The sequence below is a fragment of the Homo sapiens genome, chromosome 3 (assembly GCF_000001405.40).
Source record: "Homo sapiens chromosome 3, GRCh38.p14 Primary Assembly".
Classification (NCBI taxonomy): domain Eukaryota; kingdom Metazoa; phylum Chordata; class Mammalia; order Primates; family Hominidae; genus Homo; species Homo sapiens.
In genome coordinates this window covers 147,680,841-147,693,322 of record NC_000003.12, presented here as the reverse complement: position 1 = coordinate 147,693,322, position 12,482 = coordinate 147,680,841, and the positions used below count along the sequence as shown (strand labels likewise).

General features: G+C 37.2%; 1 long non-coding RNA gene across 1 annotated transcript in view; it reads left to right on the top strand.

The window, feature by feature from the left end:
* LOC124909495 (uncharacterized) overlaps positions 1-4,378 on the top strand; it is a 43,498-nt gene extending 39,120 nt beyond the window's left edge. Inside the window, exon 2 of the long non-coding RNA XR_007096279.1 lies at positions 4,244-4,378. This is a non-coding gene — a long non-coding RNA (uncharacterized LOC124909495). The remainder of the gene's footprint in view (positions 1-4,243) is intronic.
* The last annotated feature ends 8,104 nt before the right edge of the window (positions 4,379-12,482 follow it).

Here is a 12,482-nt window from a genome sequence, read left to right as displayed (position 1 = left end):
TATGGCCACCATGCCCAGCTAATTTTTTGTATATTTAGTAGAGACGAGGTTTCACCATATTAGCCAGGATGCTCTGGATCGCCTGACCTCGTGATCCACCCACCTCGGCCTCTCAAAGTGCTGGGATTACAGGTGTGAGCCACTGTGCCCGGCTCCTACCTTTTTTTTTTTTTTAAATACAATACAAGCATTTACATTTTGTTTCCTGAAGTTGTATTTACTTATTTATTTTCACTGAGAAAGCCATTCATCATGTTATGGTGTGAATGCTTCTATCTCCCCAAAACATATGGGTTCATATGTTGTAACCCAATCCCCAATGTGATGGGGTCTATGAAAAGCAGTTAAGTAATAAGGTCACAGGATTGGGGTGGGATTAGTGCCCTTATAAAAGAGATCCTCAAGAATTGCTTTGCCTTTTTCACCACGTGAGAACACAGCAAGAAGGCAACATGTATAGACCAGGAAATGGGCTCTCACCAGACACCGAGTCAGCCAGTGCCTTGATCTTGGATGTCTCAGTTTTCAGAACTGTGAGGAATACATTTCTGTTATTTGTAAGCAACCTAGTCTATGGTAACAGTCCAAAAGGACTAAGACAGGTCATAGTTGTCAGATATTCACAGATATTAATTAAGCTTAGAGCTTAGCAAAGCACTCAGAAGCATTATACTTGTACTATATTCATTGCAATGTCTCTTACAAAAATAATTCAATGAACTGCCAAGAACCACTTTTTTTGTTTTTTGGTGACGAAAAATGTCAAGTGAATGTGTGCATGTGTGTAATTACAAAAATTATTAAACATATATAAGCATGTGGATTCAATTGTAAAACTTTTATTGTATATCTACTGTATATCAGCCACTGTTCAGGAAATACAAATACAAAGTCATTACCCTGATAATTACAGAGACTACTGGAAATCACTAATAAATAAACAATTTCTTTTGATTGTGGTGCATTAATGAGGAACAAGGGGAAACAGAATCACAGAGTCAGGCTTAAGTAGTGTTAGGGGTGGGAGGAGATCCATGCAAGCCTTCAACAGAGGAGCAGCTGCTTGGCAGAAAATGGGGTGACAGTACATTTCAGGCTGAAGGAATAGTAAGCACACTAATGGAGTTGTAAACAGCATAGTAGAATTGGGAACCTGCAAAGAATCCAATACTGTGCACTAATGAAGTGGAAGGGCAGGAGTTATCATCAAGTAGGTAAGAGTCAAAATTTACTATGCTATTGTAAACACTTTTTCTGTAGATAATGCAGTAATATTAAATAGGAGAAAGGCGTAACAAAATTTATGTTTAGGGAGAAACATTTTAGTTTAGAAGATACGTGAAAGTGAATTAAGGTGGATAAGGACTAAAAGAAGAACCAGTTAAGACACTATTAATCCAGATGACGTATGATAGCTTGAAGTAAGTGATTCTGGAAACATGAACGAAGGAGATTTAAAGATCAATTTACATGTGGGATTATGAGATAGAAGGAATTAAGGATGGGCTTCCGAGAATCTATAAACTTTCTCCCAGATAGGAAAATGTATATGATTATTTACATTTTCTGGGGAAATAACATAGATTTTATCAGATCCCTAGATGGGTTCATAACTGAAACAAGTTTCAAATTATTGTATTGTACAATTTTCATACTCACACTTTACTTAAAAACTTGTGTCTTTTGACAATTATTTATTCGGGTAAGGTTGCCAGATGTAACTATTAATAATACAAACACAGAATGGAGTGCAGGATTTAGCAAATAAAAATTTACGTTTAGGCCTGGCCCGGTGGCTCACGCCTGTAATCCCAGCACTTTGGGAGGCCAAGGCAGGTGGATGACCTGAAGTCAGGGATTCAAGACTAGCCTGGTTAACATGGCAAAACCCCATAGCTACTAAAAATATAAAAATTAGCCAGGCATGGTGGCATACACCAGTAGTCCCAGGGGCTTGGGAGGCTGAGGCAGAAGAATTGCTTGAACCCAGGAGGTGGAGGTTGCAGTGAGCCGAGATCACATCCCACCACTGCACTCCAGCCTGGGCGACAGAGAAAGACTCTGTCTTAAAAATAAAATAAAAATTATATTTAACTGAGCATCCTTTACTTTTATTTGGCATCCCTACTTAAAGACATTCAAGCTGGGAAGTGACGTTTTTCTGGAATTGTACATTATCTGGATATGAACTTTCTTCCATTTGAATTCCATTAATTAATTAGTTCACCCGACAAATATTGATTGGTTACCTAATCTGTCCACTGAGTACACATTTAGTGGAAAACAGATATATACCCCTTTCCTGAGACACTAACAATGTATTGGGTAATATTTTTTTTTAAAAAGTAGATTGAGAATTAATAGATTATTATGAATAGTGAGTACCAGGAGACAAGCAAGGGGTAGTGACAGAGAGCAATGTGACTTTTTATTAGAATGGGAAAAAAGCCAAGCCAGGTGAAGGGCAGGGAGGAACATGTTCCAGGGAGAGGAAAGATTTTGATGGAAAGACTGGAGGTGGGAAAGAATTGCTGAGTTGATGAAAGAAAGAAAGAGAGAAAAGAAAGAAAGAGAGAAAAGAAAGAGAGAAAGAAAGAAAGAAGAAAAGAGAGAGAAGAAAGAAAGGGAAGGGAAGGGAAGGGAGGAGGGAGGGAAGGAAAGGAAGGAAGGAAGGAAGGAAGGGAGGGAGAGAGGGAGGGAAGGAGGGAGGGAATGGAACTTTGGAAAGCTGAGGTGGGTGGATCACAGATCAGGAGTTCGAGACCAGCCTGGCTAACATGGTGAAACCCCATCTCTACTAAAAATACAAAAATTAGCCAGGCATGGTGGCATGCGCCTGTAATCCCAGCTACTTAGGAAGCTGAAGCAGGAGAATTGCTTGAACCCAGGAGGTGGAGGTTGCAGTGAGCCGAGATCATGCCACTGCACCCCAGCCTGGGTGACAGAGTGAGAATCTGTCAAAAGAAAGAAAGAAAAGAAAGGAAGGAAGGGAGGGAGGGAGGGAAGGAAGGAAGAGAAAGAAGAAAGAAAGATTTTATGTAGTGTTGAAAGGAGAGACTGGATACAGAATCAGCTACATAATTTATGATTTTCAGGGCCCAGTGCATAATGAAATTATGGCCCCTTGTGCAAAAAGCAGGATAAAAGCAGCATTAAAGTTCCTAAAATAAAAAGTATTTTCTTTTTTGTTGTCTCTCTTTTGATTTGTCATGGTGTTTTTTGCTTGATATTTAATATTCTAAGTAAAAAAAAAGTTAAAATTCAAATTATTAGCATGAATTTTAACATTTATTTTTATATTGGGCAATTCAATTTTTAAATGCAAATATGAATGTTTATCTTGTATGCAAATCACTGAAATTACACAATTTGTATTCCATCACTCATATATACATATGTATTCCATTCTTAGAACCGTAAAAATGCTACACAAAACTAACTGAAATGTTTTTATTTCACTTCCTGATACAAATGCATTCTACCACCTCTCTCAACCTTCAGCTAACTGATAAGGAGAAAGAACCAAGTAGAAAAGGAACTACAGGCTGCTCTATCTTTCCCTTTCCTTCTATATCATTCCTTTCAGTGTACATGATTGGCAAATACAGAGAACTTTGGGTAAGAAAAGATATGATAGAGTTTCTTGGCTCTTTGAGTCTCCTAGAATGTTATTAACTTCTTTTGTCACTAGAAGCAAGATCTGATTCAATAGGAAAAGATGGTGTCCAAGAGCTGTCAGCAGCCCCTCACCCCACCCCCACCTACTAGTTGTAGACATTACACTTCACTTGTACTCTCTTTGAGTCTCCCTGGGCACCCATATAATGGTGAATTCAGCAATATTTTGTGCTTATGGGGCACAGCAAACTGGAACACCAAAAAACAGTGGATTCACTCATGGCATGCATTTCTTCTGTTCGTGGGTATGCTTCATTTTTTCCTTGGACTTAACTTACAAAACACAAATTCAAAGATAAAAGAATAATAGAAGGTAAGAATTTAGAATTGTAATGTCAGAACATTAAACCATCCATGAAGCCCTGTGTGACTGCTATGGACTTAATGATTTTGCCCTCAAAATTTTATATGTTGGAGTCCTAATATCCAATGTGATAGTGTTTGGAGTTAGGGTCTATGGGAGGTAGTTAGGTTGTGAAGATGGAGCTGTCATGATAGGATTAATGGCCTTATAAAAAGAGACAGGAAACAACTTGTTTTTTTCTCTCTCTCTTCTCTCCACCAGGTGAGGCTATAATGACAAAGCAGCCATCTGCACACCAGGAAGGGGCACTCACCAGACATCAGAGCTGCCGGCACCTTCACCTTGGACATCCCAGCCTCCAGAACTGTAAAAAATAAATGTTTGTTGTTTAAGCCACCCAGTCTATTTTAATTTGTTATAGCAGCCTAGTATGGTTTGGCTGTGTCCCCACCTGAATCTCACCTTGAATTGTAATAATTCCCATGTGTCATGGGAGGGACACTGTGGGAGGTAATTGAATCATGGGATGGGTTTTCCCATGGTGTTCTCATGATAGTGAATAAGTCTCATGAGATCTGATGGTTCCCCTGCACACATTCTCTTGCCTGCCACCATGTAAAATGTGTCTTTGCTCCTTCTTCACCTTCCGCCACGATTGTGAGACCTCCCCGCCATGTGGAACTGTGAGTCCATTAAACCTCTTTTTCTTTATAAATTACTCAATCTTGGGTATTTCTTCATAGCAGTATGAAAATGGACTAATGCACAGCCCAAACTAACTAGGTCAGCTATGCTACAAGTTACAATCTTAAAATGGTAGCCCTGCGGTGGAGGAGATGATGATGGAGAAGTGGGTAGGGACCTGAACATGCAATTTATGGTGTGGTGTCTGGGTTTAATTCAGTGTCTATAATTTTGCCATACTTCTCCTGCCCTCTAGCTTCTTTTTCTCCTGTTTGGAAAACCTATATGTAATACAAATTTAACATACCTTGTGTTAAACAGATTTGATTTATTCCAATGTCATTAATTCCTTCCAACTACAAATCAAACCTTGAACTTAAAAGAGGAACAATCAGAAACAAAAACCAAATTTTCCTTTTTCTCAGTATTTGTTTCTGGATCTATCACAAATAATAATAACAGCAATTACATATTCAGCATTGAAAAATCAGGAATGATGCCAAGTATTTTATGTAGTAGTTTGCAATTAAAAAAATATTTAGAAGCAGACACCACAAGTCTCCAAGAACTATTTTTCACAGTTGAATTTTGCCATTTCACAGGACTATTGGCTCTGGAGTGATGCCCTAGTAATCTGTTTTCTGACACCCATTAATTCATTTCCTCACTTCTTTGATTGAAGTACTGCATACACTGATCATTGATTTGTAAAGTTGGGTGTGAATGCCCAATGAATTTTAAAAAGAAACTCTTAACACTACATTCTGTTCTAGCTGTACTTCACTTTGCAGTGCAGTTCATGGTGTCATTTGCTGCCTATGTCCTGCTTCAGCAGAAGTGGGCAAAAGAAAGAAGAGAGTAGGAGCAGAAAAAAACATACCAAGGTAAATTTGTAGACAAAGTGCACTCATACTTCTAGTATCATCTTGTACATTATCATTAAGTAAAACCCTGAAAATCTCCTTTCTGGTTCTTTTGCTTGTTTCTTATTTTGTTCTTATGAAAGATTTTATTTCATTTTACAAAATCTTTCATAAGAACAAAATAAAAAACGAGCAAATGAATTTAAAAAGGTGCAATTCATGACACCACTAAATTGCATTATAATTCTGTATGGTCTTTTCCTGCATTTGGGGAAGCTGGCTGTAAAGGCTCATGAGACACCCATATATTGTTCACAGAATCCCCCACATGTGTGCGGCTCACAGCTTCTGGCAAGGATGTGAATGCAGTGGCTTAGAAATTGGCATCAGTTGAGAATAGTAACAAAATATTACCGGTTGGTGTTTTCTTCTTATGCTTCCTGTGTGTAAAGAAAAAAGATCCTCCTTTTTTCTAAAAAATAATTTTAAATATTTCCTATAGAATATTTATTTCTAAAACTGGCATTTTCATCACATTTAATTTTTAAAGGTGATACATAAATATACTTTATATTATAAAAGTTTTTGTTCAAAGAGCAAATATTACCAAGCCAACATAACAAAAAGATACATTACAGTTTCTCTTTGGTGATTTATGAAAAGTACCAGTAATACCAATGAAAAGTTAAGTCCCAAAGGGAGAGATTATCCAAATATTTCTTAATTAATCAAACTTTTTTGGGCATCTACCACACACTAAGCACGGTACTATGTACTAAAGTCTACATACACATCTCTATGCCATATAAAGTCCTACTGAGGTAAACAAAATATGGTGGCAATATTTTCTTTGCACGGGATTAAATAAACTGGGATACCGCCAAGATTGTCTTCCCAGCATACTTCCTCCGTTGCAGTTAACCTGCTTAATTTAACATACTTTTCTCTTCTGGGCCAAAGCCCTAGATTCATGACTACCTGACTTTTTTCCTTCTCTGTCTTCCTTCTATTATTCCAAGGTAGACTAGTTCTTAAGTTGTGCTAAATCATAGCCTTCTGCAGACCAACAGTGGCAAGCCTAACAAGAACCTTTTCTATACCAGGAGCTCAATTTCAGGAGCTCAATGCTAAGCTTTTAATATGCTAAAAGAGGAAAATGAGAAATTTGGAAAATCCTTTCTCAAGGCAATAGCCTGGTTGATGAAGCTATTGTCTTGATACATAATCGTTTTTGCATTTTTTCTTTCTATTTAAATGCCTTCTGTAACATGTCTAATCTCTACACATACATGATCTCTGGCAGATGGATGCATAACCAAGTAGAGTGATGCCATGAATTTAGAAAAAGCAAAATAAAATAATAGTTTATAATTTTCAAATGCTCCTCCTTCTAATAATATAGTCAATATCCAATACATAGGAATTCACCTAATTTCTCCTCAACTTATTTTCTTATTTATTTCTTCATCTTCTCCCAAGTCTACCTTTTTGATAAAACCACTAACAGAATACACACACACACACACACTCACACACACCCCTAAACACTACACCTCCTTCAAATTCATGCAAACACTTTGGACACTTCTACTCTAATGGTAAAATGGCAGCACTAGGCAGTATGGAAAAAGATGATGGATTAACTAAAACCGAATTACAGGCTCCACAAAATAAAACTATATTGTTAGTAGTAACATTAGTAGTATTGATATTTATAACAAATAAAATGTATTAAATAATCAATACTCTACAGGCCCAAATTGATACCAATTGACCACAAAATTTATCATAATTGACATGGAAAGTGCCTGCAAGTACTACTTTCTGGACTACTATGAAAAGATCAATCTGAGTTTTGTAAGCTCTCCTATTAATATATTTGAAAACATTGCAGTTGCTGAAATAAGTAGTTTTATTTTGAAAGATTTCCATTTGCTTCAGCTTTTCTGTCACAATTACATTATTTTTTATGGTTTGTGATGTTTGCTATTTTTAATCCATGATAGAGCAATAGTCTATCTACCATCATGTGGTTTAATAAATAGAATATTTGTTAAATATTCTATTGATTATTATTTATGTTTAATCAAATAGAATACTTCAGTTAATTAACAGTTGAAATGAGAAGGGTTTAGTCTACAGTGACATGTCAATGCCAGTGAAGGATACAGAATAAATATGAACACATTTCAAAAGAAAATTCAAGATTATTTAATAACTAACTGGTTGTGGAGAGAAGATAAAACATAAATCAGAAATTTTGCTGATGTTTTGAATCAGGGTTCAAATAGGAGAAAACATATGAGAATTGCAGGAAATGGGAGCAGGTATTTTGTTTCAAGACTCCTAGTAAATTTCAGGTTTGGTGCCGGGTATCTTGATTTGAAGACTGGGAAATGAACATATCGTCTGTCATTACCTAAAATTCAAGGTGACCTTTAAGTAGTAAAATGTATTTACCTGCATTACTTGTGGGATTGCTCTCATTATTTTACTCCCAAATTAAATTTTTCCCTGTGTCTCAAGGGAAAGTGATATCCATCTCTCCATTTACTTTCCAGAAGGAAAAATTATAAGGCTCTATGAAAGAAAATGTGTTTTGTTTATTCTAATGTCATTAAGAACTATGGTAGTTTTAAGTTCATAAATGAACAGAATTTGAGGTAAATCTTGAAGTGAAAATGTAAGGAGACTGTCATAGGCCACAAAATGAGGCTAAAATGCATAAGCAAATCTTAAATTCTAGATGTTTTAAAAATTATAAAGTTGACTGTTTCAACATATGCAAATCAATAAACATAATCCAGCATATAAACAGAACCAAAGACAAAAACCACATGATTATCTCAATAGATACAGAAAAGGCCTTTGACAAAATCCAACAGCCCTTCATGCTAAAAATTCTCAATAAATTAGGTATTGATGGGATGTATCTCAAAATAATAACAGCTATCTATGACAAACCCACAGCCAATATCGTACTGAATGGGCAAAAACTAGAAGCATTCCCTTTGAAAACTGGCACAAGACAGAGATGCCCTCTCTCACCACTCCTATTCAACATAGTGTTGGAAGTTCTGGCCAGGGCAATAAGGCAGGAGAAAGAAATAAAGGGTATTCAATTAGTGAAAGAGGAAGTCAAATTGTCCCTGTTTGCAGATGACATGATTGTATATCTAGAAAACCCCATCGTCTCAGCCCAAAATCTCCTTAAGCTGATAAGCAACTTCAGCAAAGTCTCAGGATACAAAATCAATGTGCAAAAATCACAAGCATTCTTATACACCAACAACAGACAAACAGAGAGCCAAATCATGAGGGAACTCCCATTCACAATTGCTTCAAAGAGAATAAAATACCTAGGAATCCAACTTACAAGGGATGTGAAGGACCTCTTCAAGGAGAACTACAAACCACTGCTTAACGAAATAAAAGAGGACACAAACAAATGGAAGAACATACCATGCTCATGGATGGGAAGAATCAATATTGTGAAAATGGCCATACTGCCCAAGGTAATTTATAGATTCAATGCCATCCCCGTCAAGCTATCAATGACTTTCTTCACAGAATTAGAAAAAACTACTTTAAAGTTCACATGGAACCAAAAAAGAGGCTGCGTAGCCAAGACAACCTAAGCCAAAAGAACAAAGCTGGAGGCATCATGCTACCTGACTTCAAACTATACTACAAGGCTACAGGAACCAAAACAGCATGGTACTGGTACCAAAATGGAGATATACACTAGTGGAACAGAACAGAGCCCTCAGAAATAACACCACACATCTACAACCATCTGATCTTTGACAAACCTGACAAAAACAAGAAATGGGGAAAGGATTCCCTATTTAATAAATGGTGCTGGGAAAACTGGCTAGCCATATGTAGAAAGCTGAAACTGGATCCCTTCCTTACACCTTATAAAAAATTAATTCAAGATGGATTAAAGACTTAAATGTTAGACTAAAAACCATGAAAACCCTAGAAGAAAACCTAGGCAATACCATTCAGGACATAGGCATGGGCAAGGACTTCATGTCTAAAACACCAAAAGCAATGGCAACAAAAGCCAAAATTGACAAATGAGATCTAATTAAACTAAAGAGCTTCTGCACAGCAAATGAAACCAGCATCAGAGTGAACAGGCAACCTACAGAATGGGAGAAAATTTTTACAATCTACTCATGTGACAAAGGGCTAATTTCCAGAATCTACAAAGAACTCAAACAAATTTACAAGAAAAAAACAAACAGCCCCATCAAAAAGTGGCTGAAGGATATGAACAGACACTTCTCAAAAGAAGACATTTATGCAGCCAACAGACACGTGAAAAAATGTTCATCATCACTGGCCATCAGAGAAATGCAAATCGAAACCACAATGAGATACCATCTCACACCAGTTAGAATGGCGATCATTAAAAAGTTAGGAAGCAACAGGTGCTGGAGAGGATGTGGAGAAATAGGAACACTTTTACACCATTGTTGGAACTGTAAACTAGTTCAACCATTGTGGAAGACAGTGTGGCAATTCCTCAGGGATCTAGGACTAGAAATACCATTTGACCCAGCCATCCCATTACTGGGTATATACCCAAAGGATTATAAATCATGCTGCTATAAAGACACATGCACACGTATGTTTATTGTGGCGCTATTCACAATAGCAAAGACTTGGAACCAATGCAAATGTCCATCAATGATAGACTGGATTAAGAAAATGTGGCACATATATACCATGGAATACTATGCAGCCATAAAAAAGGATGAGTTAATGTCCTTTGTAGGGACATGGATGAAGCTAGAAACCATCATTCTCAGCAAACTATTGCAAGGACAAAAAACCAAACACCGTATGTTCTCACTCATAGGTGGGAATTGAACAATGAGAACTCTTGGACACAGGAAGGGGAACATCACACACTGGGGCCTCTCGTGGGATGGCGGGAGGGGGGAGGGATAGCATTAGGAGATATACCTAATGTAAATGACGAGTTAATGGGTGCAGCACACCAACACGGCACACGTATACATATGTAACTAACCTGCATGTTGTGCTCATGTACCCTAGAACTTAAAGTACAATAATAAAAAAAATTGCACAGTTGATATATGTGCCTTTTTTGGCTTCCTTTAAAGGGAAAGAAGGAAATTATCACTTCAGGAGATTCAAAACTCTTCCCTTACTAATATTGCTCTCTACTAACCTTATGACCTGGTTACCTAAGGCCAATTTAACACATCATTAGAAATGTAACCAACATGTCACTTAAATAGGTTCATCATTTGGCCAGAGGATGACAGGTTCTTTCTTCTCCTATATATGCATTCTAGCAGCCACTAGTTTCCTGTAATTTCTGTAAGAAATATAGATATGCAGGTAATTATTTTCAAGTGTCTATACCCTACTAATAAGAAGATGCCATTTCCAGATGAGATAGCACTGTGATTTTAGAAATGTTTAGAGTGTAGAGAAAGCAAAATATGCAAATAAACTATGTCATGGACAATTTAAGGAAAGAACTGGTGCTATCATGCCCAGGAAAAGGCTGGAGATCAACTAATGAAGGGATTAACTATTTGTAGGGCTGGAAAGCAAGTTATTAGAAGAAGAGACAGCTCTTATTTTCTGTTCTTTCATTTTTTACTGGCCAAAACAAGAATAATGCAAGAAGACCTAAATGTGCCAGGATCATGTTACGCTACTGGTAAAGAGTTCATCATCTCAAAAGAAGACCTTGTTGAAGCTTTTCCTTAGCCTCTCAAATGCCTAATTGTCCCATTGCTGCAGTTGATTCCTAAATAACACTGAGGTGGGGAGACAATACAAGCATCTGAATAATGGCAAACGCACTATTATATTAGATTGTTTTGACAGTGTGGTCAGGATTCAAAAGTATATGTTGGCACAGATTTATTTCTCAACCCTTTAAAAATAAACTTACTTCATGCTGGGGTACTACTCTACACATATTTGTAACCAAGTTGCCCTTTTCCACTGCTATTAATTATTGCTTTTTTGATTTGCCAGCAAACACTCTCTAGAACATTTTCTTACCCCATGTAGGTACAGCTTTTTCAAAAATAGAATGTGTTGGTTCTTTTACATTAAAAAAGTAATGCATGTTTATTGCTGAAAAATGTAAATAGATAACAAAGCTGAATAACAGCTAAACCAGTGAAATATTTTTATGCTCATCATCTAATTTTATCCCCACAATAACCTTATAGTTAAGGTAAGATACAGAATATTGTCTATTTAGCTATTGTAGAAAATGAGAATGAAGTGAGTTGCCTTTAGTTCATGGCTGCTCTGAGTCCCATCTAATTCCTAGGCCAAAAATCTTTCTGTATCATACTGTCACCCACAAATAGTAGAAAAGGAATAGGTATCCCTTGGTGTTAGGAGCCAAACCCAGAAACGGAAACACACTCATGTGACTGGTCTTGAGCTAGGCAAGGCCAGCCTGGCCCGTGTGTGAAGTCTCCCCAGCTGCATCGTCACTGACACATTTCGCAGCAGTGTTGAAAGCTGCTTGGGAAACTGCTCCAGTCAGTGACCGTGGAGGCTGACAGCTCTGGCTGAGTGATTCTCGGCCCTAATTACAAATAAACCTCTGATTTTAGGAAGGGTATGGTGGGAGAGTGTTTAGTCCCTGTACATCTGAAGAGACTGTATTATGTTGTGGGCCTGATAATGAATCAGGAGGGCACTTAGATTAGCATAACTCATTCATTTATCAGATAAAAGGTGTGCTCCAGTCTGTATTACACTCAGGGGCTCAGTGTCTCCATTTTTGTGTATGAATACATCCACCCTCCATTTGCCTTCTGTCCAGAGACACTCTAGGCCAATCTGCTTTAATAAATGGATTTGTAAAGTGCTTTGTAATTTTTACATGGTTGATTATCCATGTAAAAGGTTTTTTGAAATAACAAACAGCTAATAGCAAA